Below are 24,484 nucleotides of genomic sequence, written 5' to 3'. Positions count from 1 at the left end.
GGAGCACAAATTATTCTTAGGTTTGGTCATTTAACATAATCCCAAACTTCTTGGAGGTTTTGTTCATTTTTTAAAAGAATTCGTTCTTCTCTGTTTTTGTCAAACTGGGTTAATTTGAAAGCCTTTTCTTTGAGCTCTGAAGTTCTTTCTTCTACTTGTTCGATTTTATTATTGAAACTTTACAGTGTATTTTGCATTTCTCTAAGTGTGTCTTTCATTTGCAGAAGTTATGATTGTTTTAATTTATGCTATTTCTTTGGGGATTCTTTTTGGTCCATATCCTATATTATTATTATTTTTTAATTTCTTTAAGTTGGTTTTCACCTTTCTCTGGTGCCCCTTTGAGTCGTTTAATAATCAACCTTCTGAATTCTTTTTCTGGCAATTCAGATTTCTTCTTGGTTTGGACCCATTGCTGGTGGGCTAGTGTGATCTTCTGGGAGTGTTAAAGAACCTTGCTTTGTCATATTACCAGAATTGTTTTTCTGTTTCCTTCTCATTTAGGTAGACTATGTCAGAGGAAAAATCTGGGGCTCAAGCGCTGCTGTTCAGATTCTTTTGTCCCCTGGGGTGATCCCTTGAGGTAGTACTCTCCTCCTTCTCCTAGAGAGGCGGCTTCCTGAGAGCTGAACTGGAGTGATTGTTATTGCTCATCTGGGTCTAGCCACACAACATGAAACCCCGGTAGGGCTCCAGGCTGGTACTGGGGAGTGTTCTACTCTGGTTTTCTTTCCAAGGCCCAGAGCTGACCATGTCACTCTCCTGCTTAAACCACTTACTTCTTGGTGCCAGCAAATCTCTAGAGTGCAGCCATCAAGATTTTCCCAAGCTGGACCCAGGCAACCTTTTCAAGCCTTGCCCCAGGTGCTGCCCAATGTGCATCTTATGCTTCAGTCAATTTAAACTGTTTTACATCTCCAAAAAGAGCTCTAGGTATTGTTTCTCCATGTTTCATCTGTCCAGCTGCTTGCTCATGTACTTACTGGGGAAGGGAGGGACCAACGGTTACCTCATGAAAGTTGCATCTGAGCTGAGCTTTAGTGTGACAAGGGTAGGGAATTAGGGGAGGAGGAGTCACCTCTGCTGGAGCCAAGAGCCCAAGGAGACATGGGGAAAAAGGGCGAGTGAAACAGCAGGCCATGCGGTAATGATGATGAGACTGGAAAGCCAGGCAGGAGCTCAGTGATGAAGAGCCTCAAATTATAGTCTCTACAGTTGGGACAGATCTTATCAGCCATACTTTAAGATGAGTTATATGGCAGCAGCATGCAAACTCAATCTCTGCCCTGTATCAAGTAGACTGAAAATCCAGTGGTGAAAGCCTCAGTATGACACTTGTGGGGAAGAGGAAGATAGAATCATACTCAAGGGGGAGGCAATGCAGAAATTAAAATCATACACTGTGTCTTGATTTAATTTCTTGATCACCCACACATCCTTTTCAGCCATTTCAAACTGCAGTGGTTACCTTGACACTTTTGAAGGTGCATTTGTCAGTCCTAACTTCCCAGCATCCAGACTTGGCTTATTGGGTGTGGCACACACAAATAGAGAAAAGTTATAAGAAAAAAAGACTGAATAAAAATTTTTAAGTGCTGTGCTCTACTTTGCCTAGTTGAGCAAATTCAGGCAGAGTTTTCTTAGGACTAATAATTTTAGCAAAGCAATTACATATAAATATGTATAGCACTTATATAAACACAAGAAAATCAACATCTATGAATTTCTAATATAAATAAAATATAATTTAGGTCTTCATTAACCTGTAAAAATCAAGAAATTGAAGATCAGGAATTAAAACTCATTGGAATTATTTTTAGTACTACAACCATGACTATTTTAATTATTTTATAAAATATAGCTTATGTGTTCTAGTTATAATTATATTGGAGCATTTTGTGAATCAAAAAACAGACTGCAACTATCAGACACTAAAGAGTTCATTCATCCTTAACTGAGACACATTTCTCCCAAATGCTGAAGGAACTGCTTCCTCATGGCTACATATGTTATAAGAAAATTAGGATGCCATCCTGGCTAACACAGTGAAACCCCATCTGTACTAAAAATACAAAAAATTAGGCGGGTGTGGTGGCACGTGCCTGTAGTCCCAGTTACTCAGGAGGCTGAGGCAGGAGAATCGCTTGAACCCGGAAGGCGGAGGTTGCAGTGAGCCAAGATCACACCACTGCATTCCAGCCTGGACAACAGAGCGAGACTCAGTCTCAAAAAAAAAAAAAAAAAATTAGGATGAGTCTGATAAAAATAACATACACTTTCTCACATCACTGAGGTCCGAGTGAGAGTCATAAATGAACAAACATTATATGTTAGTTCTCATGTAAAAGAAGTAAATTCACCAAAATACTAAATGAGAGTAAGACATCCTTTTACACAAAAATAAATATCTTCACAAAGATGCGAACAGTAAACACTAGGGATTCCAAAAGGGGGAGGATGGGAGAGAGGGGAGGGTTGAAAAAACTACCTATCAGGTCCTATGTTCACTACTTGGGTGATGGGATCACTAGAAGCCAGTCTCAGTATCATGTAGTATACCCATGTAACAAACCTGCATATGTACCCCCTGAATCTAAAAAACCCCAAAACGTAACAAATATTAGATAAAAAGACAATGTTTCTATTTATTTCAGACAAGTAGTTTCCAGGGTGGATGCATTTATTTTTTGGATGCAAATATATCACTCTTCAACACACACAAAACAGTTACAATCTCTGAAAATGAAGTCTGCCAGAGAGAACTGCAATCTCCTTGATTCATATACCTTAATCCTTCAGTGGGGAGCCTCGGCATTTCACACTTTAAATGTGTCAGGAAAGGGTTTGGAAAGAAGAATCTACATCAGCTCAAAAAAATTAAAAAAACCCAACAACAAACAAAACAGACTTCCTTACACTTTCTGGGTTTATTGAGATAAAATGAGATCAGTTCTCCCATTTTACATCATACACTAAATCCAAAGTAACAATCCTAACAAGGAATAGACCAGTTCTGATAATCACTTTCTTATCTACTGTTACAATGTGACAGAATGTACAATTAATGGCCCCAATGTGAACTGATTTTACACATGCCAAACATCACATCTAATTTTTTATCTGAAATAAACAATATAAAATTCAAGTTGGTGATCTAAAATAAAGGTTCCAGGTTAAGTACCCAGTTTTCTAAGAGTCAATTAGGAAAAAAAAATCAAATACTCTAAGCATTCCTTTTATATCCCTGAAACTATAAAATAAGGTCTTCATATAAATTAAAACAGTACTTCAATCAAACATATACTATATCAACTAATGAATTATATTAGAACTCCTTAAACATTTAGAACATATAACACAGAAGTACATATACACTTATGAGTGAAAAATATTACTAGCAAAAATAAAATACTGTATCATGTTAAGTCTTAGTATACAGTACAAGTGTAGTAATAATGAACACTGAGGTCACTTCAGTAAGTAAGATGATGATCCTTAAAAGGACATTAAATCCTTGCTTTTTATAAATATTTTTGGGTTTTGGCTTTGTAATAAATATGTAACAAATATCTGCAGTACACTGTTTATGTTGAGAGCTCATCTTTCTCCATTTGAAAGTCCTTCTCCAGAGTCATAATGTCTTAGAGGCAGCCTACTGGGCGGGGAGTTGGGATTTTGCAGCAAATCAATCAACAAAGCAATCTTATCATCAATGTGCTCCTGGAGTTTATATATTCGCTGATCAATGTAGTCTATAAGTTTCTTTTCTATCAGTTCCATATTTTTAGAAAGAATCTATTCCAAGTAGGAGCAAACAGGCTGCTCTTCCATTCTGGAAATACATTTTAAAAATATATCAATTTTCTTTAATATTTTAACAAAACAACTGAACTATACAACAAGCAGCCAACATATATTGCTGAAATGTGTCTTTATAAACTGTGCTGTCTTCTTACAGTGTATTTCCAGGTTCTAATATACATCCACAACAGATGACCGCAGTCATGAACACATACTTATTTCTTTAAACATTTACTAAATATACAATTGAAATGGGAATATAAAAGTGAAGATGATTCCTTAAAGACCAAGTCCTTAGAAAGGGTCTTTTTGATATGGAGCTCCAAATCAAAACTGATCTTGCCGAATTTATTTTAAGGTCAACATGTATATTTTCCAAGTACTTCCCCAAGCAACCCTACAATTTAAACAGTTTTGTCTTCTTTCTTTCATACAAACCTTACTAAAGTACTAGAAAGTTCTTTGCTAACCTAATGTGAAACTGAGGAAGAATTTAACTGGAATGGGCAAATTAAAGATTAAAAAAAAAAAGCACACCAGTTTCTAAAACAAAACTCATATTGCACTCTAGGGCAGTGATTCTTAGAGTATGGTTCATAGAACACTATAGAATCCTTTTAAAGGTTCCAGGAGGACAAAGTGTTTTTGTAGTAACAAGGAGGTAATATATGCCTTTTTCACCCTCATTCTCTCATGAATGCACTGTGGTATTTTCCAGAGGCTAAACAACCTGTTATTGATATAATGATTAATCAAATGTGTGACAGTATATTTTTGTGTTTTCTAGAATTTCCTAAGGTACTAGGTTTAGGGTATAAATATTTGCTTTTTAAAAGATAATTCAGTTTGTTTTGAGTAGTTATACTGTGCTTTTATGCTATATTGGACTATATGTACTATAATGCAGAAGCAGACATGAGCAAGTTAATACAGATTTGTGTAAATTTAATACAATGTCATTCTTTTCACTGATTTTTTGAAAACAAGATTGTTTTTAATAAAAGCTACTGTTTATATGTATATGCAAATAATTACTATTTAAAAATAAATACAAATTTTAATATAGTCTATATAAACAGATATTCTTTGAGTTCTTCATTTTTGAGATTAGAGATCCTGAGATGAAAACATTTGAGAACTACAACTCTAGAAATTGCCAAGCAGGTTAAAAATTATTAAATTAAAAAAATTGAAATACAAAATTATAGATTCACCAAAAGTTGCAAAGATACTGTGGAGAGTTATCCAGTACCCTTCACCAATGATCTCAATGGTTACATCTTACATAGCTATGGTACAATATTAAAACTAGGAATTGACATTGGTACAATGTATGCATATAGTTCTACTTCACATGTGTAGATTCATGTAACTACCATTACAATCAAGACAGAGAACTATTCCTTAGCCACAAAGATTATCCTTGTGCTAACCCTTTACCATCACAGTCACCCCTCTTTTCCCTATCATCCTTATTCCACGGCAGCCATGATGTTCTCCATTTCTATTTTATTTTGAGAATGTCATATATGTTGGATACTATAGTATGTAATCTTTTGATTTGTTTTCCACTTGTCATAGTTCACTTGAGATTCATCCAAGTTGTTGGATGTTTCAATAGTTCACATTTTTTTATGAGTGTATTCCATGTTCTTACATTCACACAGAAATCTCATGTATGTAATTGTTCATAGCAGCTTTAACGTAAAGCCCAAAACTGGAAATAAGTAAAATGCCCTATATTAGCTGTGTGTTAAAGGGTGATACATCCATAAGTTTCCATTTCTGTGGGATACCATGCTAAGGAGTATGATTGCTGGCTTGTATGGTAAGTGTATGTTTAGTTTTTTGAGAAACTGGCACTGTTTTCCAGAGTGGCTGTACATTTTACATTCTCACTAGCAATGTATGAAAGATCTAGTTTCTCTGCATCTTTGCTAGCATTGGGCATTCTCAGATTTTTTTTCTTTCATAATGGAGATTGTATTGGTTGTGTTGAGGATCACTACACAGACATTTCAATTTCTGCACATCTCAAATGTACGTACTGAAAACCTAAAAAGCCATGCATCGTCATTCTTTTTTGAAGTTATTTCAGTGACTTTTTAGCTTAAAATTTAGAGACAAAATTTCCTTGAGGATATTAAGTGCCCATATTGTTAAATGTTGTAAGCTGTTATAAAGTCCCACCAATTCACAATTTAATATTATATATATAACATAGTCAGATTTTCAGTCTTTCACAACACATTAACAAAGTTATTAAGAAAACTGGACTACTACATGACCAAAGACACTACAGAGTACACATGATTCTGACAGGGACAGGCAAGATCGAGGAGTAGTTTTTAGTAAACAATTCTGCTAAAAAACATAGGAATAGAAGTTAAAATGATCAAGACATATTAAATACACAACTGTGATTCAAATTGTCAATTATGCCTTGTATTATAAGATACAACCTACACCCTCATGGAATGTTAAGCTAACACTCAAAAAAGTCAAATCTTCCCATAATTCAATATCCCACTATTTTCTGGTTTTACCAAAAATACAACCAGAAAGTGATTTCTCCTCTTAAAAAGAGCATTTAGGCCAGGCACAGTGGTTCATGCTTGTAATCCCAGCACTTTGGGAGGCTGAGGCAGGGGGGTCACTTGAGCTCAGGAGTTCGAGACCAGCCTGGCCAACATGATGAAACCCCATCTCTACTAAAAATACAAAAACTAGCTGGATGTGGTGGCAGGTGTCTGTAATCCCAGCTACAAGAATCCCTTGAACCTGAGAGGCAGAAGTTGCAGGGAGCCGAGATTGCCCCACTGCACTCCAACCTGGGCCAACACAGTGAGACTCTGTCTCAAAAAAAAAAAAAAAAAAAAAAAAAGAGCATTTACACTTTAAAAAGTGGGATAAGGTGGTATTCCCTCCTTTTCAATGTTTCCTAGAGCTACTAAAAAAAGTGTAGTTACAAACTAGTAACTTGAAAAAAAAAAAGTGTAGTTACAAACTAGTAACAAGAAGGGAGACAGGGACCACTGATAAGACATGGTACCGGACATGAATCAGACGTGGCTTCTTTCTTTCCTGCTTCATCAGATGCTGGACTCTTCTCATTTTCGGTCTGTCTGTTTTCTGCAGGTAAATCTTTAAATCTTTAGTTTCTTGTTTATCCACTTTGAATCTGCTTTCCCTTTGCTCCCCTTTTCCCTTTTATTTGCACTTTTTTTGTCTGAGGATGATTCTTCCTTGCTGCCTCTTTTGGTTTTGTTTTCACTTTTGCTGGAGCAGGTTTATCTGACAACCTCATGGGCCTCCTCTTGGGCCCTTCCTTCACTGCCCCTTCAGCTGGGCTGAGCTTCCTCTGGTGCCTGAGGGCTGAAGTGCACCATGAGCCTTCATGAAGCTGGGCTGCTGGACTGCCTGCACACTGCCACTTGTCCTGCCACCTGAGCTTTTATTTTAGCTGTTCAAATAGGTGTGCTGCGATATCTCATCACGGTCTTATTTTGAATTTCCTAATGGATAGTAATGTTGAATATCTTTTCATGTTCATATGCTGTTTGCATATTCTCTTTGGTGAAATATCTCCTGTCTCGCCCATGTTCTAAATTGATTTTTTTTTAACTGTTGAGTTTTGAGAGTTCTTAATATATCCTAGGTATGAGTCATCTGTCATACCTAGGTTTGCAAATAATATATTCTCCCATCTGTAGCTTGTATTTTCATCCTCTTAACTGAGTCAGAGGGCAGAATTTTTTATCTTTAATGAAGTCAAATTTATTAATTTTATTTTATCGATTGTACTTTTGGTGTCATGTTTAAGTACTTTTCTGCAATTCTTAGTTGCTAAAGATTTTCTCCAGTTTCCATCCAAAAGATCATTTAAATCTATGACCCATGTTGAGTTAATTTTTGTGTTGGATGTGAAGTTTAGGTGAAAGAATTTGGATATCTAATTGCTCTAGCACCATTTTTGGAAAGTGCTATCCTTTCTGCACCACCCCCCCACTCCTTTTTTTTGTAACAGACTCTCACTCTGTTGCTGAGGCTGAAGGGCAGTGGTACGATCTCAGCTCACCACAGCCTCGACTTCTTGGGCTCAAGTGATCCTCCCACCTCAGCTTCCCAAATAGCTGGGACTACAGGCATGCGCCGCCATGCCTGGCTAATTTTCATATTTTTTTGTAGAGACAGGGCTTTGCCATGTTGCCCAGAGTAGTCTTGAAATGCTAGGCTCAAGTGATCTGCCCGCCTTGGCCTCCCAAAGTGCTGGGATTATAGGTGTGAGCCACCACCCCTGGCCAGTTTTGCACCTTTATCAAAAATCAATTGAGCATATTTGTGAGGGTCTATTTCTGGCCCTCTATTATGTTCCATTGATTTATATTTCAATCCCCACATAATACTAAACAGTATTGGATACTCTACACTGGGAAGAGTGATTCCCAATCATTTAATTCTTTTTTTGAAAGTTGTTTTAGGCTGAGCGTTTAATCCCAGTACTTTGGGAGGCCAAGGCAGGCGGATTACTTGAGGCCAGGAATTCAAGACCAGCCTGGCCAACATGGTGAAACCCCATCTCTACAAAAAATGCAAAAAATAGTCAGGCGTTGTGGCGGGCGCCTATAGTCCCAGCTACTCGGGAGGCTAAGGCATGAGAATTGCTTGAACCCAGGAGGTGGAGGTTGCAGGAAGCCGAGATTGCACCATTGCACTCCAGTCTGGGTGACAGAGCAAGACTCCATCTCAAAAAAAAAAAAAAAAAGAAAAGAAAAAAGAAAAACAAGTTGTTTTAGCCATTCTACTACTTTTGCCTTCTCATATAATTTTAAAAAGCCTTGTTTTTGTCTACAAAAAGTCTTGGTGGGATTTTGATACAAATTACATTAAGCCTGCATATCAATAGGGAGAACTAACAATTTTACTATGTTGAGTCACCAAGCCATAAACAGGGTATGTCCCTCAATTAGATCTTCTCCGATTTCTTTCATCAGCATTTTACAATTTTCAGCATATATATCCTGTACATGTTTTGTTAGATTCATACCTAAGTATTTAGTTTTCTTTGGAGCAACTATAAATAGTATAGTGAGTGTGTCTCTTTTAAGTTGAAAAGCTTACTTTTATTCTTACAATTTTCTACTAGGAAGCCAACATTTAATTTAATAATTCATTGTTGACAGGTGAGTTATAAAAAGAAATTGTTTTTAATTTTGGTTTCCACACATCATCATTTGTACAGTTAAGCCTCAGTATTTGTGGGAGACTGGTTCCAGGACCTCCCTCCCCAAACCCACCCTTGTGGATACCAAAATCTGCAGATGCTTAAGTCCCTTATATAAGATGACAATACTTAATAAAAGTAAATTCTATGTAAATACTTGTTATACTGTATTACTTAGACAATAAGGACAGGAAAAAAGTCTACATGTTCAGCACAGACACAATTATTTTTTCTCTATTTCTGATCCACAGTGGGTTTAATCCATGATGCAAAAGCCATGGATATGGAGGGCCAACTGAATATAGATAAGCAACTAATTTTGATCTTTCATCCTGTGACTTTTGCTGAACTCATTTATCAGTTCTAAACCTTTTTTAAAAAAATATTCCTTGGGATATTCTACATAGACCATCTTGTCATCTGTAAATAAGGACAGTTTTCTTTCATTGCAATCTATATTTAATTTTTGTTGTCTTACTGCAGTGGCTATAACTTCCAGTACTATGTTGAGTAAGAGTGGTGACGGCTGGGTACGGTGGCTCATGACTGTAATTCCAGCAATTTGGGAGGCTGAGGCAGGTGGATCACGAGGTCAGGAGATCAAGACCATCCTGCCTAACATGGTGAAACCCTGTCTCTACTAAAAATACAAAAAAATTAGCCAGGCATGGTGGCGGGCACCTGTAGTCCCAGCTACTCAGGAGACTGAGGCAGGAAAATGGCATGAACCCAGGAGGCAGAGCTTGCAGTGAGCCGAGATCATGCCATCGCACTCCAGCCTGGGCGACAGAGCAAGACTCTGTCTCAAAAAAAAAACAAAAACAAAAACAAAAACAAAATAAACCCAGTGGTGGGAAAGGACATCCTTGCCTTATTTTTCACTTAGGAGGGACGCATTCAGTCTTTCACCATTAAGTATTATGTTAGCTATAGGTTTCTTGTAGATATCCTTTATGAAGTTGAGGCAGCTCCTCTCAATTTCTAGTTTTCTGAGTTTCTTTCATCATAGATTGGTGTTAGAATTTTAAAAATACTTTTCTGTGTTAATTTATATAGTCATATGAATTTTCTTCTAGTCCGCTGAAATGGTAGATTACATTAACTTTCGAAATGGCTGAAATGGAGTGTTTTACAAATGTCAAATAGATCCTGATGACTGATAGTGTGCTATTCAGTTCTATATCTTTCCTATAATTTTGTCTAACAGTTCTATCAATAACTGAGCGTGGGGTGTTAGGTATTCAACTATAATTATGGTTATGTCCATTGATCCTTTTGTATCTATCAGTTTTCTGCTTCATGTAGTTTGAACCTCTGTTTACTGCATACCCATTTAGGATCACTATGTCATTGTCTTTTTATTATTATGTAATGTCCCTCTTTTTATCTAGTGAATTTCTTTGCTCTGAAGCCTGCTTCACCTGATACTAATATACGACTTCTGCTTTTTAAAAAATTAATGTTTTCATGGCATATCTTCCTACTTTTGACCTACCTACGTCATTATATTTGAAAAGTGTGTTTTGTCAACTGCATATAGTTGGGTTGTATTTTATAACCCATTCTATACATTTCTTTTAATTGGTGAATCTAGCCATTTATATTTATAGTAATTATTAAAATATAATTATCTTAGATACTTCCTCTACATATATTAAGTACCACATCATATGGTGTTATAACTTTTACTTCAACCATCAAATATGATTTAAGAGACTTATGAGAAGGATAGCCTGTCATATTTACCTCTGTTTTTATCCATTCCATTGATCTTTCTTCCTTTCTGAAGTTCTAAGCATTCTTTTGTCATCATTTCCTTGGATAACTTGCTTTATCCATTCTTTAAGGGTAGGCCTGCCAGTGCAAAATAATCTGTTTTCATTTATTTGAGACTGTCTTTACTTGCTGTTTGTTCCTAACGGATATTTTTGCTGGATATACAATTTGTGACTCACAGTTCTTTTACAGCACTTGAAAAATGTGCCTCTTCTTATTGGCCACCATAATTTCAGATGAGAAATCAGCTGTCAACAAACTTGGTATTTCTCTATGAGAATATGTTGTTTCTCTCCAGCTTTCTTTTAGAATTTATTTTTTATTTTTTCATTTTCAAAAAATTATGATATGACTTGGCATAGACGTATTTGAATTTATCCTGTGTAGGACTTACTCAGCTTCTTGAATCTGTGAGTTCACGCCTTTCCCCATTTCAGCTTTGGGGAAACTTCAACCATTATTTCTTCAGATATTTTTTCAGCTCCAAACTCTCCCTTCCTCTCCTTATAACACCCCAGCTAGAAAATTAAAGTATCGTCTGATTTTGTGGGGCAGTGGTGACATCACCCTGGTAGAACTGAAGTACTGCTTGTTTCAGCTGAGCAGGGGCTGGAAGTTTAGCTTCTACTCGGCTCTGTTGATACCACCCAGTAGCAGAATTGGAATGCTGCCCACTTCTTCTGACTGAGAGATGGAAGAACAGCTCACCATTTAGCTTGCTGATACCACCCCAGTAGAGAAACCAGAGTACAACTGCCTCATTCAACAGGGCAGGCAGGAGGGCAGTATTTCCATTGGTGTTTGACTGGAGTAGACAAGTATTATTGAAAGGTTTTGTTTTGTTAGGACTCCCTTTTCCTGGTCCTTTGGTTAGAAGGAATAGGCTTTTCTTGAAGCTCTTAATTTTTGTCCCCACTGGTTGTCCCAGGTTGCAGACTTCTTTGGCACCCCATCCAAGATATATGGAAGGCAGAAAAACTCAACATTGCATTGCTCCTCAAATCCCACAGTCCCTAAGAGTCTGACTTCTTTCTACCTTTAACAGTCCTTGTATGTTTCTTCGTTGTGCTATGTCCAAGGATTTTTATTTGTAAAATGAGGATCTGAGAGGAATGGCAATGTTCTATCTCAGCTGGACCCAGAAGTGTCCCAAGCAGTTTTTGAATCCCTGTATACTGTATAGTCTTTTGATTTTTTTTTTGCCATTACACATAACAACTAGTTATCATTGATACAGACTATCAACAATTGAAGACTATGCCATCTCATATAACAAGTAATTATCATTGATGTAGACCGCCAATTATTGAACACTAATGTTATCTTTCTATATCCTAAGAACCACCTTTATTTAAATAAATTAAATTCTTAAAACTTTAACACTGTTGGAAACCTTAAACAAATCTCAACCAATACAAATATCTAACTTTACACATTGAAAAAAAAAATCAAAAGATTTAACCAGTAAGGCAAAATAGTTAAGCCAGGTCTCTGACTGAGTCCTGAATTCTAGCCTAGTGCAATATTTCAGCACGCTATATCTATGTAAAGAATGGGGAACATACTAAATACTCAGCCATTCCTCAATCAAATCAGGACTGTCACAAACTTGGAATTATGAGACCAGGGTATAAGGGCCTATATGCTATAAATAATTAGAATGTTAATACATTTTTTGATGACTTCAAAATTAGCCTAGGTCAAATGTGATTTACAAAGAAAATCTGTTATGATGGCTCATTTGGTACCATCAGGAAAAAAAATATACATATTATGGTTCCCACAGCTGCTCTCCATTCGTATGGATCACTTTCAACTTCAACCATTAGCTATGCTTGTAACTCACAAAATGCCTGGCAAGTGTGCAACACCTCCAGTTACAGGCACAGGCACTTCTTTCAAAACAATCTATTCTCTGTAGAATAGTTATTACCTACGAGTATATTAATAGTAAGCTGTAAAAAAAAAAAAAGCTGCTAGAATTTTCTATTGAAACAGATTTTAGGCAGTACTCATTGAGACAAATCTGCTTCTTTTTCTCTTCATCTAATTCTCCCACCTACCAAATCAAAACTACATCTGTGTTAAAACAATACTTACCCAACACCAAGAATGCCTTCATCAGGCTTGGTGGTGTTTTCCTGTCACTCGGCCTTACGTCCCACAAGGAGATAGTTAACTTGACTACATAAATTCTGGAGAAAAGGCAGCAACTCAGAGTTAGGTATATTTGAGTTGTCATTTGCTTTCTTTGGTAAGAAAGGGGATGTTGCATTTTTAAGATCATTTTCAAGAAGGGAATGGTTTTGTGGCACAATTTTACACTCATCAAGCTTTGTAGAATTCTCTCCACTAGATGCCTGTGTGCTTTTATCAATGTACGCTTGTAAGTTTTCAGTCACGTTTCCAGATGTCAATCCAGTTCTAAAAGGGAAAGGTGTGGAGGATGACTTGTCTAAGGCTCCTAAGGCAGATGAGCATTGTAGTCCAGTCATTTGCTTGTATCCAGCATTGCCCAACACCAACTGAAGCTGCTCTTCAATAGGAATACAATTCTAAACAAGATAAATAAGTAAATGTTAATATTAGTAATCTTGTCAGCTACCTTTTAGAGTAATTAACAGCTAACTTTTGGAGTATGAGTCAGGCACTGTGCACTATTTCATCTAATCCACAAAACATCCTTATGAAGTAGGGTAATATTACTATCACTTTATATTAAATTAAATTGAGGAGACCAAGGCTAAAGGTGGCCTGGCCAAAGTAACACACCCAGTAAGTGGCAGAACTGCAACATGAACTCAGGCCACTTAACCCCACAGTTGGGGCTTTTAATCATTTAACTGTAGTTTTTTCTAAAAATATATTAAAATAAATATAGAATGGTTAGTAAAATGGCATTGGCGTATTTCAATGTTTCCACTACAAAGACTTCTTTAATTTGCAGTAATAAAATGCAGTACTCTCAACTGAGTCACAAGAATTGACAATTTTCTTAGAAGTTTCTGCTTAGCAGTGCTAATCATAATACCAAAAAATTTGAGGAGCCTAAATACTCACTAATCTAGCAGTGATTAAATAAGTACAAAATACTCATAAAGTGACATAGTATATAGTCATTAAAAATGACATAGGGATATACTTCTTGCTTAGAATGTGGCCCATCTCATGTTAGAGGAAAATGACTATAGAGCAGCATAAAGGAACATGAAAAATATTTATGCAGAATTGTGTCAATATATATGAACATGTAAAGAACTATATATGTGTGTATACATAACTTCATATATTGCATACATGTAATTTCATATAAGTGACATTTCTGAAAAATCAAGTGTTTTATCTCTGAATATCTTATGGGATTTATGAAATAAGTTTTACTTATAAAACATTCATATATCATTTTGAAAAAACAAGAAAAAGTTATTTTTATTTGGAAGGGGAAAAAGTAAACAGTATAAATCATAATGGAATATATTTTGAGAAAATGGGGTGCACCATTCTTTCATTCAGATAATATTAAATGACAACAGTATACTACACACTTTGATATGGAATTCCTACTCAATATTCTAAATTGTGAAGCAAAAACAAAGCCAGCAATCTAAACTTCAAACACAAGGAAATAAGAACCTTTATATTTATCAAGATATCACACAGATGACCATTTCAGACTTACATGACTCAGAGTACTAAACTTTAGTAAAACTTTCAAGAAAGCAAGTAATCTCAATTCAGAAGTAAAGCTGAGGGGCTGAGACTTCCAACACAGGTCCCCAGGTGCTTCCTTTCTCCAGGACAGACCCTGCCTAGACAATGTGTATGGTTACACCATTACACAGGAGTTGTTTTAGTCATGAAACATCCCCATTTTATGCTCAGATAGTTACAAAGCTTATATGACATTTTCTAGGGAGACAATATATAGATGTCTGGTTTGTTAACTCCATAAATAAGAACTTTCTTACTAGGAAGTAAGTCTTTTATTAGCATGTTTAAAGGAAGAATTAACTTTATTTCTTCTCCAGGGTGTTCCCCAAATGTCTCCAGATGTAATGATTTAGAGTGTGTGCTGGGGGGAACAGGGGGTGGGAATTGGTTACAACACAATCTACTGACTGGAAGGAACTTGCTTCTATATGCGTAGAAAACTCTAGACAGATAGAGTTTATATTCGTAATACACTATGCATAAGACTCATCTGGAGATGCTTGTTTAAAATACTGATTCCTGGATCCCACTCCCTAGGATTCAGGGCACTGGTGAGGGCCAAGAATCTGCATTTTATAAACATTTCAAGAGATTCTTGAAGTTCCTTATCTCTTTCTTGAAATAAACCCATGTTACCCTGGGTACCTCCACATTCCAAAAACCCATTTACTATCAAATCCCTGAAAATCTGATTTCCACCTCATCACTATTCAAACTGACCCCCCGAAGATCTCCAAGGAGTCCTTAATTGATAATCCAAAGGGCACATTTATCGTACATATATTCCATACCATAAACAAGAAAGACCAGGTGTCTATTGCATAAAGCTTATTTTAATGAGATAAACAGACCAATACATAAACAACAGTAAAAATAGTCAAGAGGGCTCCGAAGAAAACATGATATAGATTTGGAGGGAAAGCCTACTTAAAACTGGGTGGTTAGGGAAGATCTCATTAAGGCTGTAACATTTAAGCCAAAATCTGATAGGACAAAGTCAGTTATGCCAAGATTTAGGGAAAGAAAACAGTTGTAAGTGTAAAGGTCCTGAGGTAGAAACACATTTGGATATTTATAGAATGCATACATCAGAATGTCTGGAGCAAGCTGCCCAAGGAAACATGGCAGGAGATGAGGTTGAGGAGGCAAGAAGGGCCTACACCTTAGAGATCAGGGTCAGGAATCAAGATTAATTCTAAGTGTGATGGGAAGCAGTGAGAAAGTCTTATACAGGATGAGAACTTTGAGGCCATTCTGAGTGCACTGTGGAGAATGGATTTTAGCAGAGCTGGAGGACCAGTTAGGAACCTCCTGAGGTATCCAGGTGAGATCACGGTGTGGGAGGAAGAAAAGTACACATTTCCATCTTTTTTGGAACTCTTCCGTCTTTTCCATAACTTCAGCTCTCCTTGTTCTCTTAACTCAGCCCACATGGTAATAGCGGCACTACATTAATATCTGTAGGCCACACATCTACAAGGAGTTCTTTACTTGCGTTATTTATTTTAAATTTTTACATCAATCCTGTGATTGTTACAGTGTTACCACTTAGATTTAGATTTTGCACATGAAGAATTTGTGTTAAAAAAAAAAAATGAATCAACTTGCCCAAAGGATGCAGAACTAAGAGGAGACAGGACAAGAGCTTGAGGTAATTTTACCTGACATCAAATCCTTTCTCTTGCTACTCTATCCCTCTGCTACCTTCTACATTTCTGGTTCCTTTTTCCTCTCCCTGTATCTGTACAAATGCAGCTATTCTCCAAGGATCTTTCTTCCTTGCTTCAGTCCCTCTCTTCACCACACTCCATCAGCTACTGTGGATACACCTCTAAACTTCCCTTCCAGCCACTTAAGGTTCATTCCATTTCTCCTAATCCTCTGTTTTCAGATGTTTGCAACATCCTCCCAGGGAATGTTTTATTCACAGCTAAAACTCAATATTCCAAAAACTAAACTTTTCTTCCCCCCAAGCATCCTCCTTCCTTGGGTTGAATTTAGATTATTTGTATTGCCATCCTTAAAGCCTCAATTTCACATTTGACTCTATTTTTCTCCCACAACACCAATATTAAGTTAGTTGTAAAGTCCCAACAGCTCCATTGTTTTAGCATTTCACCATACAGCATCATGTTACTATGTTCAATCTTAGACCCTCATTCTCGCTCATCTGGATGAGGGGAATAACGTGTAGCTGGTCTTCTCCTTGTAGTCTCACTTTCTTTTGATTTACCTTACACATGACAGTGGAAATACTTACAAATTTAAAGTAGCACTCAGACAGGGTGTGGTGGCTCATGCTGTAATCTTAGCACTTTGGGAGGCCAATGCGGGTGGATCACTTGAAGTCTGGAGTTTGAGACCAGCCTGGCCAACATGGTGAAACCCCGTCTTTACTAAAAATACAAAAAAAATTAGCCAGGTGTGGTGGCAGGCACCTGTAATCCCAACTACTAGGGAGGCTGAGGTGGGAGAATCGCTTGAACTTGGGAGGCAGAGGTTTCAGTGAGCCGTGGTCGTGCCACTGCACTCCAGCCTGAGCAACAGAGCGAGATTCCATCTCAAAAAATAAGTGAAGTAGCATTCAAAGCTCTCACTATGACCTAGCTGAAATCTACTTTAAACTTCCCCTATTCCCCTTCTGCTTCAGAGAAATGAACTACTACTCATTTCTCAGCTACATCCAATTCTTTTAGCATTGAAGATTTTATTCAGCCTATTTTTTGTCTGAATTGGCCTTCTTCCAAATTTACTTGCCTAATCCTGTCCTTTAAAGGCCTAGATAAAAATACCACTTCCTTTAGTGAGCCTTTCCTAATCTTCTTCATCCCTCCCCATTTATATGTCCTAGAATGTAAATCCTTAAAGACAAATTATAAACTGATATCTTTGCATCATGAAATGTACCCAAACTAGTGCCTTGTTCACTAAGAAGGTGCTTAATAAATACTTGCTGAATGAATGTGTGAATGAATTCATGAAAAAGTGTGAAGATTTGTAGTCAAAATATTTTGTAGGAGGGCAAGTCTATGAAATGTTATTTTTTACACAAGTAAATAAAGATAACAGTTAAATCAATTACAAAATTTCAAAGAAAAAATTTACATCACTACATGTATTTATAAAAAGCCATTACTTATAATTTTTAATGGTATCTGGAAAGTCATCCATTTCTACTTACCCACTGCTGAAACCTAACCATATTAATCAATTGCTGAGCTCCAGGAGATAACTTTGACCCCATGGACTCCATTATGGTTTGGATCCTGTCTAGTTCTATTCTTGATTTTACAGCAGGAGAGCCTGTTGAATAATTTGCTGAAACTGCTCTCATGTGTATCACAACTTTACTGATGAACACACACTGTCTTTCACCAAAGGAGCGCAACTATTACAATACAAAGTTCAGGAAAATAAATAATAATATTAAACAATATTCACTATTTAAGGTCACTCCTTTGTATTATCAACAAGAGTAAAGTATTCAGGAAAACAAATATAAACTTTAAATATATTTTCAAGTTTTCCCTAATACAGTAATGGTCAGAGGTTTCAATTTATTATGAAACTCAGAAGAACAATTTATATAAGACAATGTCATTTTCAAACTAAAAAAATATACTAAATATATGAAAGAAGGTAAAATTAAAGTTTCATTTATTTAAGCAACTCAGAATAGACTATGCCAATCTGAGACTTTAACACACAGCTGCTTACTATAATATTCTTTAATACAAAATAAGGGTGTTCAGAAGCCCATCCAAAGTGTTTACTGAATTACTAAATATAAATGAGCCATTTAGAATTATAAGGCAGGGTCAAGATGGTCTCACGTAACCCACTGGTTTACACATTTAAAAAGATGAAGTTAGAGGTAATTTTCTAACTTGTCAAAGGATTACCCAATTAGTAAAAGTCAGGCTTAGAACCTAGCTCTCCTGGCTGTTATAACAGTGCCCTCTCCAATGCTTTATGCTGCCTCTCTTCATTCATGTTTATGAACCAAAAGACATTTCATGTGTGGCACCAAAAACAGTATCAAAATGGAAAGGAAACAGGATTTAGAATGAGATAAACCAGAGTTCAGTTATGAGTCTGCTCTGTATAGCCTGTATGATCCTGGACAAATGCCAAAACACAAATCAGAATTAACATGAGGGAGGATCATATCAGTGATTTCACATGGTGGTTGGGATTATGTGCTAAAATTTCCAATGAGTAAGTATTTGAAAATATTCATCAGTAACTATTTTTGTAACTTTCATATTCTGCTGCCTCAGAATAAGCTTTAGTAGGCTTGGGATTTTCCTAAATGAAATGACCCTTTGCACTCACATATACTTCCATAGAATAGTTACAAAAAATACTCATCTTCAGAGAGACACACAGAACCATATGTAACCCAAAGACACAGGTCAATTCAGACCCATGGCACCAAAGATGTGACCATCCTTCACAATTAAGAAAACACTGTTAAATTTAAACAGTCGCCTCTCATCCTCTCTCTTATCCCCTTTCTGCTTCTTAATCCTTATAGCCTTTCTCACCACCAAACAAAACACAATTTTATTCAGAGTGTGCTCATTACCTGTCTCATCCCATTTGAATATAAGCAACACAAGGGTAGTTGCTCCATTTTATTACTGCTGCTTCCTAAATGCCTACTACAGTCTGTATCTGGTATCAGTAGGCACTCAAATATTTGTTGAATAAATCACTTTATTTAAATGACTTTGGAAGCGATTAATATATACTACCTAAAACAATGTCTTGGAACAATCTGATCTGTAAGTTTGTTACTTGCCTGCTATAAAAATCATTAACTTTTTCCTTATTCTTTTTATTTTTTTCTCTTTTTTGAGACAGAGTCTCCTTATGCCACCCAGGCTGGTCTCAAACTCCTGGGCTCAAGGGATCACCCTGCCTCGGCCTCCCAAAGTGCTAGGATTACAGGCATGAGCCACCATGCCCGGCCAACTTTTTCCTTAAAGTAAGTCTCACAACCCTGTATAATGTGGAGACAAAAAGAATACAATGCTTTATTTTCTTTAGTCTTCTAATTTACCCATGAGGTAGGTCCAAAGAAATGTAGAGATTTTCCCAAGGTCACTCAGGCAGTAACTAACAGAACTGCATTAATACCTTGGGCTATTTGTAGCTCAGTACTCTTAACTCTGATGACATCACTAAAGTTCACCTCAACAATATTTTTCATATTCAGGGTACCAGTCCAAATAGCTTTTAGGTGCTTTTCTCTGCAACTTCTCTAATTCTTGTCTTTTTAAACATAATGGGGACAAAACGTGGTTTTCTTGGCACCATAGTTTCATATAAAGATAAACAAGGACTAAGTTGGACTAACTGTATGAACAAACCAACAGTACATAAGTATATTATACATACATTTGCAATTGTCAAATTAGTTAAAATTTAGTGATGACCTACCTTTATTTTACAGGCATGAGTGGAGGATGCCAATATTAAGTAATTTTTGTAGAAAATAATTTCGCGTTTACTGAAAATAGAATAAAAATTATTTTTTCACTTATATAAATTATCAGTTTAAACAGCTGCAGTAAAAAAAAATTGTTTCCAGGCCATTACTTAAATCCTGAGATTCAGTTTGCCTGGTAGGGGACAAACAGTTGAGATCCCTTCTCAAGTGACCTGGTCAATAACCCTGTGTCGTGTATTTATTATTTCCAATATGCACAATATGTAAAATAGTTGACGTTTTGATTTATATTAAGGCGCGATTAGTGTAGAATGTTCCTATAAGGGACTAGGGAAAAGATCAAACTATAACACATTGAATATGGACTAAATAGGCTGGTGTGGCACCACCTTGGGCTTGTAGGTTCCTTAAAAAATATGTGATCAAAGTTTCAGACTGACTGTCAAATTAATTTCTGGAAAACAGACCATTGTGAGTTTATGGAGAGAGTCAAGAAGCAGCAATAAGGACTGCACTCTTGCCTGGACACTTTAACTAGTATGACCCTCTCCAGGCTCACCTCTCCTTTATTAGCTCTAAATTTCTGCATTCCTAAAAATGAGGAAGCTGAACTAGATTGCCTAGAAGATGCTTTAATGGTCTAACCTTCTATGCCATAGTAGGTTTTTATCTTCTCTTCTCTAATGTAAACATCAATGTCAGAGAGTCAATCAATATTGCAAAAGGTGAACAGAATAAAGACACCAATTCAGGAGAACACTTTCCCGTGTACAAGTCACACAACTGTCATCCAAGACAGTACAAACATTCTTGCCCCTACTGGTTCCACAGTACTCCTCTCCTAAGTACACTTCCATATTTCTTGCTGAACTTAAAATGCCAATAGAAGCGATTTCTTCACCTCCATCAGGGCCACACCTCAGGTAAAGGAAGCAGGGGTTTTCATCTTGGTTGTTCAATCTTCTCTTCTAAATCACCAGATTCTGGCTGAGAAGAAAACAGGTGAAAACATCACACAGTATAGTTTCTGAACATGGCTCAAAACCCACTTGTTAGGCCATGAGGTTTATTCTAACAAATGCTCAACACAGAATTCATAAGGAAATGGAGGCATCACACATCAGGGCTTCCCCCTCTATTTTTTCCTCAATCATCAACGTTCTACTCAGTCCCCTGCAATTGATTCTCGGATACATTACTGGACACCTACTGTGTGCACAGGAGTAGGAGCAGAACACAATAGAAGACAAAGTGTATCTTTTTCGAAATTAAGTCGACGGCGGTCGTCTATAGCTGGACTTTTTACACAGCCTGTTTTGGTGGAGAGGAGGTGGCTTGTTTGAGGGTAGATGGGCGGACTGACTTTGATAGCAGCCCTGACGACCCGTCACGCCTGACGGGGACGTTTATGAAATTCCAAGTCCTGGTCACCTTCCCCCGCTCATGCCTCGGGGCCTCGGGTACTTCCCGGCCAGACCTACCCCGCCTCCGCCCACCCCGGTCCTCGCCTCCACCTCGCAGCCCCGCTCCCCCGCAGAGACCCGACACCAACTGCTCTCCTGGATCCCGGACTCAGACCCTCACGTTCCCCGAGGAGCGCGGCAGTCGCCGAGCGCAGCGACCCGGTCGCCGGCGGCCCGGCGCACCGTGGCGCAGGTGGCGCCAGAAGCTCCTCCCAGTCGAAGTCGCGGGCGCAGACACGAGCCCGGGTGAGGAGGCTGTGAGTTAGGGCCCCGCCTGCGGCATCCCAGGAAGAGGCAAGCGTGGGGCGGCGGGTGAGGCCCCCGTCCTCGGACCGCGTGTCCACTGCGCCGCCTCCTGCCAGGCCTCTCTTCCAGTGCTTAAGTGTCGGCCAGTGCAGCGCAGAAACGGGCAGGCAGAGCGACTCCCGGCTTACATCATTTCAAATGCCCGCCGCTTCTGGATTTGGTGAGAACCTGCACCAGAGAAACGCATGCGCATAAGCCAACTGGACTCGAGAGGCGTTCAAACTTTGCTCAGGAAGCGCTAAAGAGCGGAGCATGCGCACTGGCAGGCCCTCGCTCAGCCTTTGGAGACCATGCGCAGGCGCGGTGCACTGTGCGCGGGCACCACGGCGGTTTTTCGACGCTGGCGGTGGACGCAGGCAGCATGGACCACGGTTGCTGGGCGGATGGGGAGCGTCTATGGTCAGGTAGGTGTCGTCTCTTCGCTCTACGCGATGTGCAGGACCGACTCCTGACCTCGTTCTTTCCCGAGTGGACGCCAGGGCCTTTTCTGCCTCCACTCCGTCGGGTCTGCAGCATTTGTGGCAGCGAACGCGGCGGAAGCGCTGTCCATTCGGGTTAATTTTACTCCGAACTCTCCCTGCCTCTCTCATACACATTCTCGCGTTAGAGGGGAGTTGAGGTAGATATTGAACGGCGTTAGTGGTGGACGCTGGGCCACACGGGCCTTCCCCAGGTGCCATCTCATTTGATGCTCCCTGATCCTACGGCGTTGCCAGGACTATGCTGGATGCCCTCGTGACAGAAATCAGAAGGTTGAGAAAGATCCCAGGTGTTTGGATGGAGCGGTCGCCTGAGGGAGTTTTCCAGATGCCCCATGGAATAGGAAGTAGATCTTGCCTCTTTCTTCCTTTTGTACTCCAGATGCATTCTAAGTTGTGTACACCAGACTTCCTGTTCTTTATGCCCAGCCCATTGTAGTCATAAGTTAACTTTGATACATGTCATCATAATTGGACAGTCTAAAGGAAAATAGGCTTTTTAGAATTACCTATCTGAAACTTCATGAGCAAGATCAATACTATAAGCTGGATTTTGACTTCCTTAAATAAGGCAGAAAGCCTACAGCATTTTGTCGTCTCCCCTTTCTTTCAATCTCGTATGTTCAGTATTATCACCCAGTCTTGTTTTATTTTTGGTTTTTAAAGAAAAACTTCCCTGTCTTTCTCCATCTCTGCCTCTCTGTTTTGAAATACTAGCTTTCATCGGAACAATTCCAGGAGTTTCTTTACTGGTTGATAGTCATTATCTCCTCACCTGCGTTTCATTTTCTGCACTGCCCTCTAATCTTTTATCAATTGTCCTGATGCTTGATGCTTTCTGACTGAATCACCATCACCATTACTTTTTTTTTTCTTTTGAGATGGAGTTTCAGTCTGTCACCCAGGCTGGAGTACAGTGGTGTGATCTCGGCTCCTGCAACTTCCGCCTCTTGGGTTCAAGCGATTCTCCTGCCTCAGCCTTCTGAGTAGCTGGGACTACAGGCGTGCACCACCAGGCCCAGCTAATTTTTGTATTTTTAGGAGAGACAGGGTTTTGCCATGTTGGCCAGGCTGGTCTCAAACTCCTGGCTTCAAGTGATCCGCCCGCCTCGGCTCCCAAAAGTGCTGGGATTACAAGCGTGAGCCACCGCACCTGGCCACCATTACTTCTTAACAGGCATACAAAGCCCTTTATCCTTGACTTCTGCCTGCCTCCTAGACCCCCCAGCTTTTGTACATGCTTTTCCCTCTACCTAGAATGCCCCTTCTTTTGGATAGGAAAAATCCTGTTCATCATTTAGTGCCAAGCACAGCCCTCCACACTGTGAGAGAATTTGTCAGTAATTTCTCTCTGCTACACTTAGAGTTTTTAGATACTATAATTCTCTTCTGGTATGGAGCTTTACCAAATAATTCTCACATTTGTTTTCCCAACCATCTGTACAGTTGTTGAAAATAGGAATTGTTTTGTGCCTAGTAGAGATTGAGTATAGGTTTGTTGTATGGAATTGATAGAGATAGCAATAGGGGTTGTTTGGGAACTCTATCACAGTATAACAGGAGTAGAAAGAGGTGAAACTGGCAAATTCAATCTTATTTTCAAAGCTGAAAAAACTTTGCAAAAGTTAGTGAGAAAATTATGACAGTGAAAGAGATCTGAGCTAATCCATCCCCAGTCTTGCCTTGATTATTCTTGGGCTTTTGGGACATTTAGGCTATAGTTTAAATTATCATAGGCCTTCCCCCAAACTCAACTGCTTTTGCATCAGGCTGGCAGGAGGAGAGGAGCCTGGGTCCTGCTAAGGTGCAGACATGAACTATTATCAGTTATTATTCAGAAGGTTATAAGATATGCAACTTCCCCAATTATTCCTGCAGATAACACCACTATTGTAGACTGGCCTTTTGAGATATCTTTTCAGGGTTTTTTTGCATGTCTGACACCCACCATTCCTACAGCCCCACCCAGAAGTGACTCAATGTGCAAGAGGACAGCTTCACCCCTTGTGATTTCATCTCTGCCCCAACTAATCAGCAGCAAGCCTAGCGACCTCCACCACTTCCCCCAAACTGCCTCTGAAAAATCCCTAACCTATAAGCTTTGGATGAGAATTGTGGCTGGCCTTATGTCTATTAAACTCTTTCTTTACTACAATGCCATGATCTTTGTGTAGCAGGCAGGAAGAACCCTTCAGATGGTTACAAAGCCAGGGTGTTGTGCTGGTGCCTAGGTGACCTCAATTTTAATGTAAATTACTCTTGTCGTGAA

At 38.5% G+C, this 24,484-nt stretch overlaps 1 protein-coding gene, 1 long non-coding RNA gene and 1 pseudogene across 5 annotated transcripts in view, besides 1 other annotated feature; 2 read left to right on the top strand and 1 right to left on the bottom strand.

The window, feature by feature from the left end:
- Window positions 1-2,910: 2,910 nt before the first annotated feature.
- C10orf88B (C10orf88B (pseudogene)) lies at window positions 2,911-21,992 on the bottom strand (annotated as a pseudogene). Its single transcript, NR_027282.1, has 6 exons — window positions 21,546-21,992; window positions 20,869-20,950; window positions 19,958-20,027; window positions 16,773-16,908; window positions 12,902-13,356; window positions 2,911-3,832 (listed from the first exon to the last, which is right to left on the bottom strand). The product of NR_027282.1 is annotated as a C10orf88B (pseudogene) (transcript).
- Window positions 16,702-16,832: a silencer, noted in NCBI's record as "fragment chr10:124644309-124644439 (GRCh37/hg19 assembly coordinates)". NCBI's record gives its function as "represses an EF-1alpha promoter that drives an FKBP-Casp9 reporter gene in an ReSE screen in phorbol 12-myristate 13-acetate-treated (for megakaryocytic differentiation) K562 erythroleukemia cells {active_cell/tissue: K562(+PMA)}" and the evidence as "EXISTENCE:reporter gene assay evidence [ECO:0000049][PMID:32094911]".
- The window catches only part of FAM24B-CUZD1 (FAM24B-CUZD1 readthrough), a 47,487-nt gene continuing 44,986 nt past the window's right edge, over window positions 21,984-24,484 (top strand). Inside the window, exon 1 of the long non-coding RNA NR_037915.1 lies at window positions 21,984-22,140. This is a non-coding gene — a long non-coding RNA (FAM24B-CUZD1 readthrough). The remainder of the gene's footprint in view (window positions 22,141-24,484) is intronic.
- Window positions 21,984-24,484, top strand: part of FAM24B (family with sequence similarity 24 member B) — a 30,564-nt gene continuing 28,063 nt past the window's right edge. For 2 of the 3 annotated variants that reach the window (NR_037911.1, NM_001204364.1), the window contains exon 1: window positions 21,984-22,140. The gene's annotated coding sequence lies outside the window, so the exon portion shown is untranslated. The remainder of the gene's footprint in view (window positions 22,141-24,484) is intronic. The other variant, NM_152644.3, reaches the window with a different exon arrangement.

This window comes from Homo sapiens, chromosome 10 (genome assembly GCF_000001405.40).
Source record: "Homo sapiens chromosome 10, GRCh38.p14 Primary Assembly".
Taxonomy (NCBI): Eukaryota; Metazoa; Chordata; class Mammalia; order Primates; family Hominidae; genus Homo; species Homo sapiens.
This window is presented reverse-complemented; position numbering and strand designations above follow the sequence as displayed.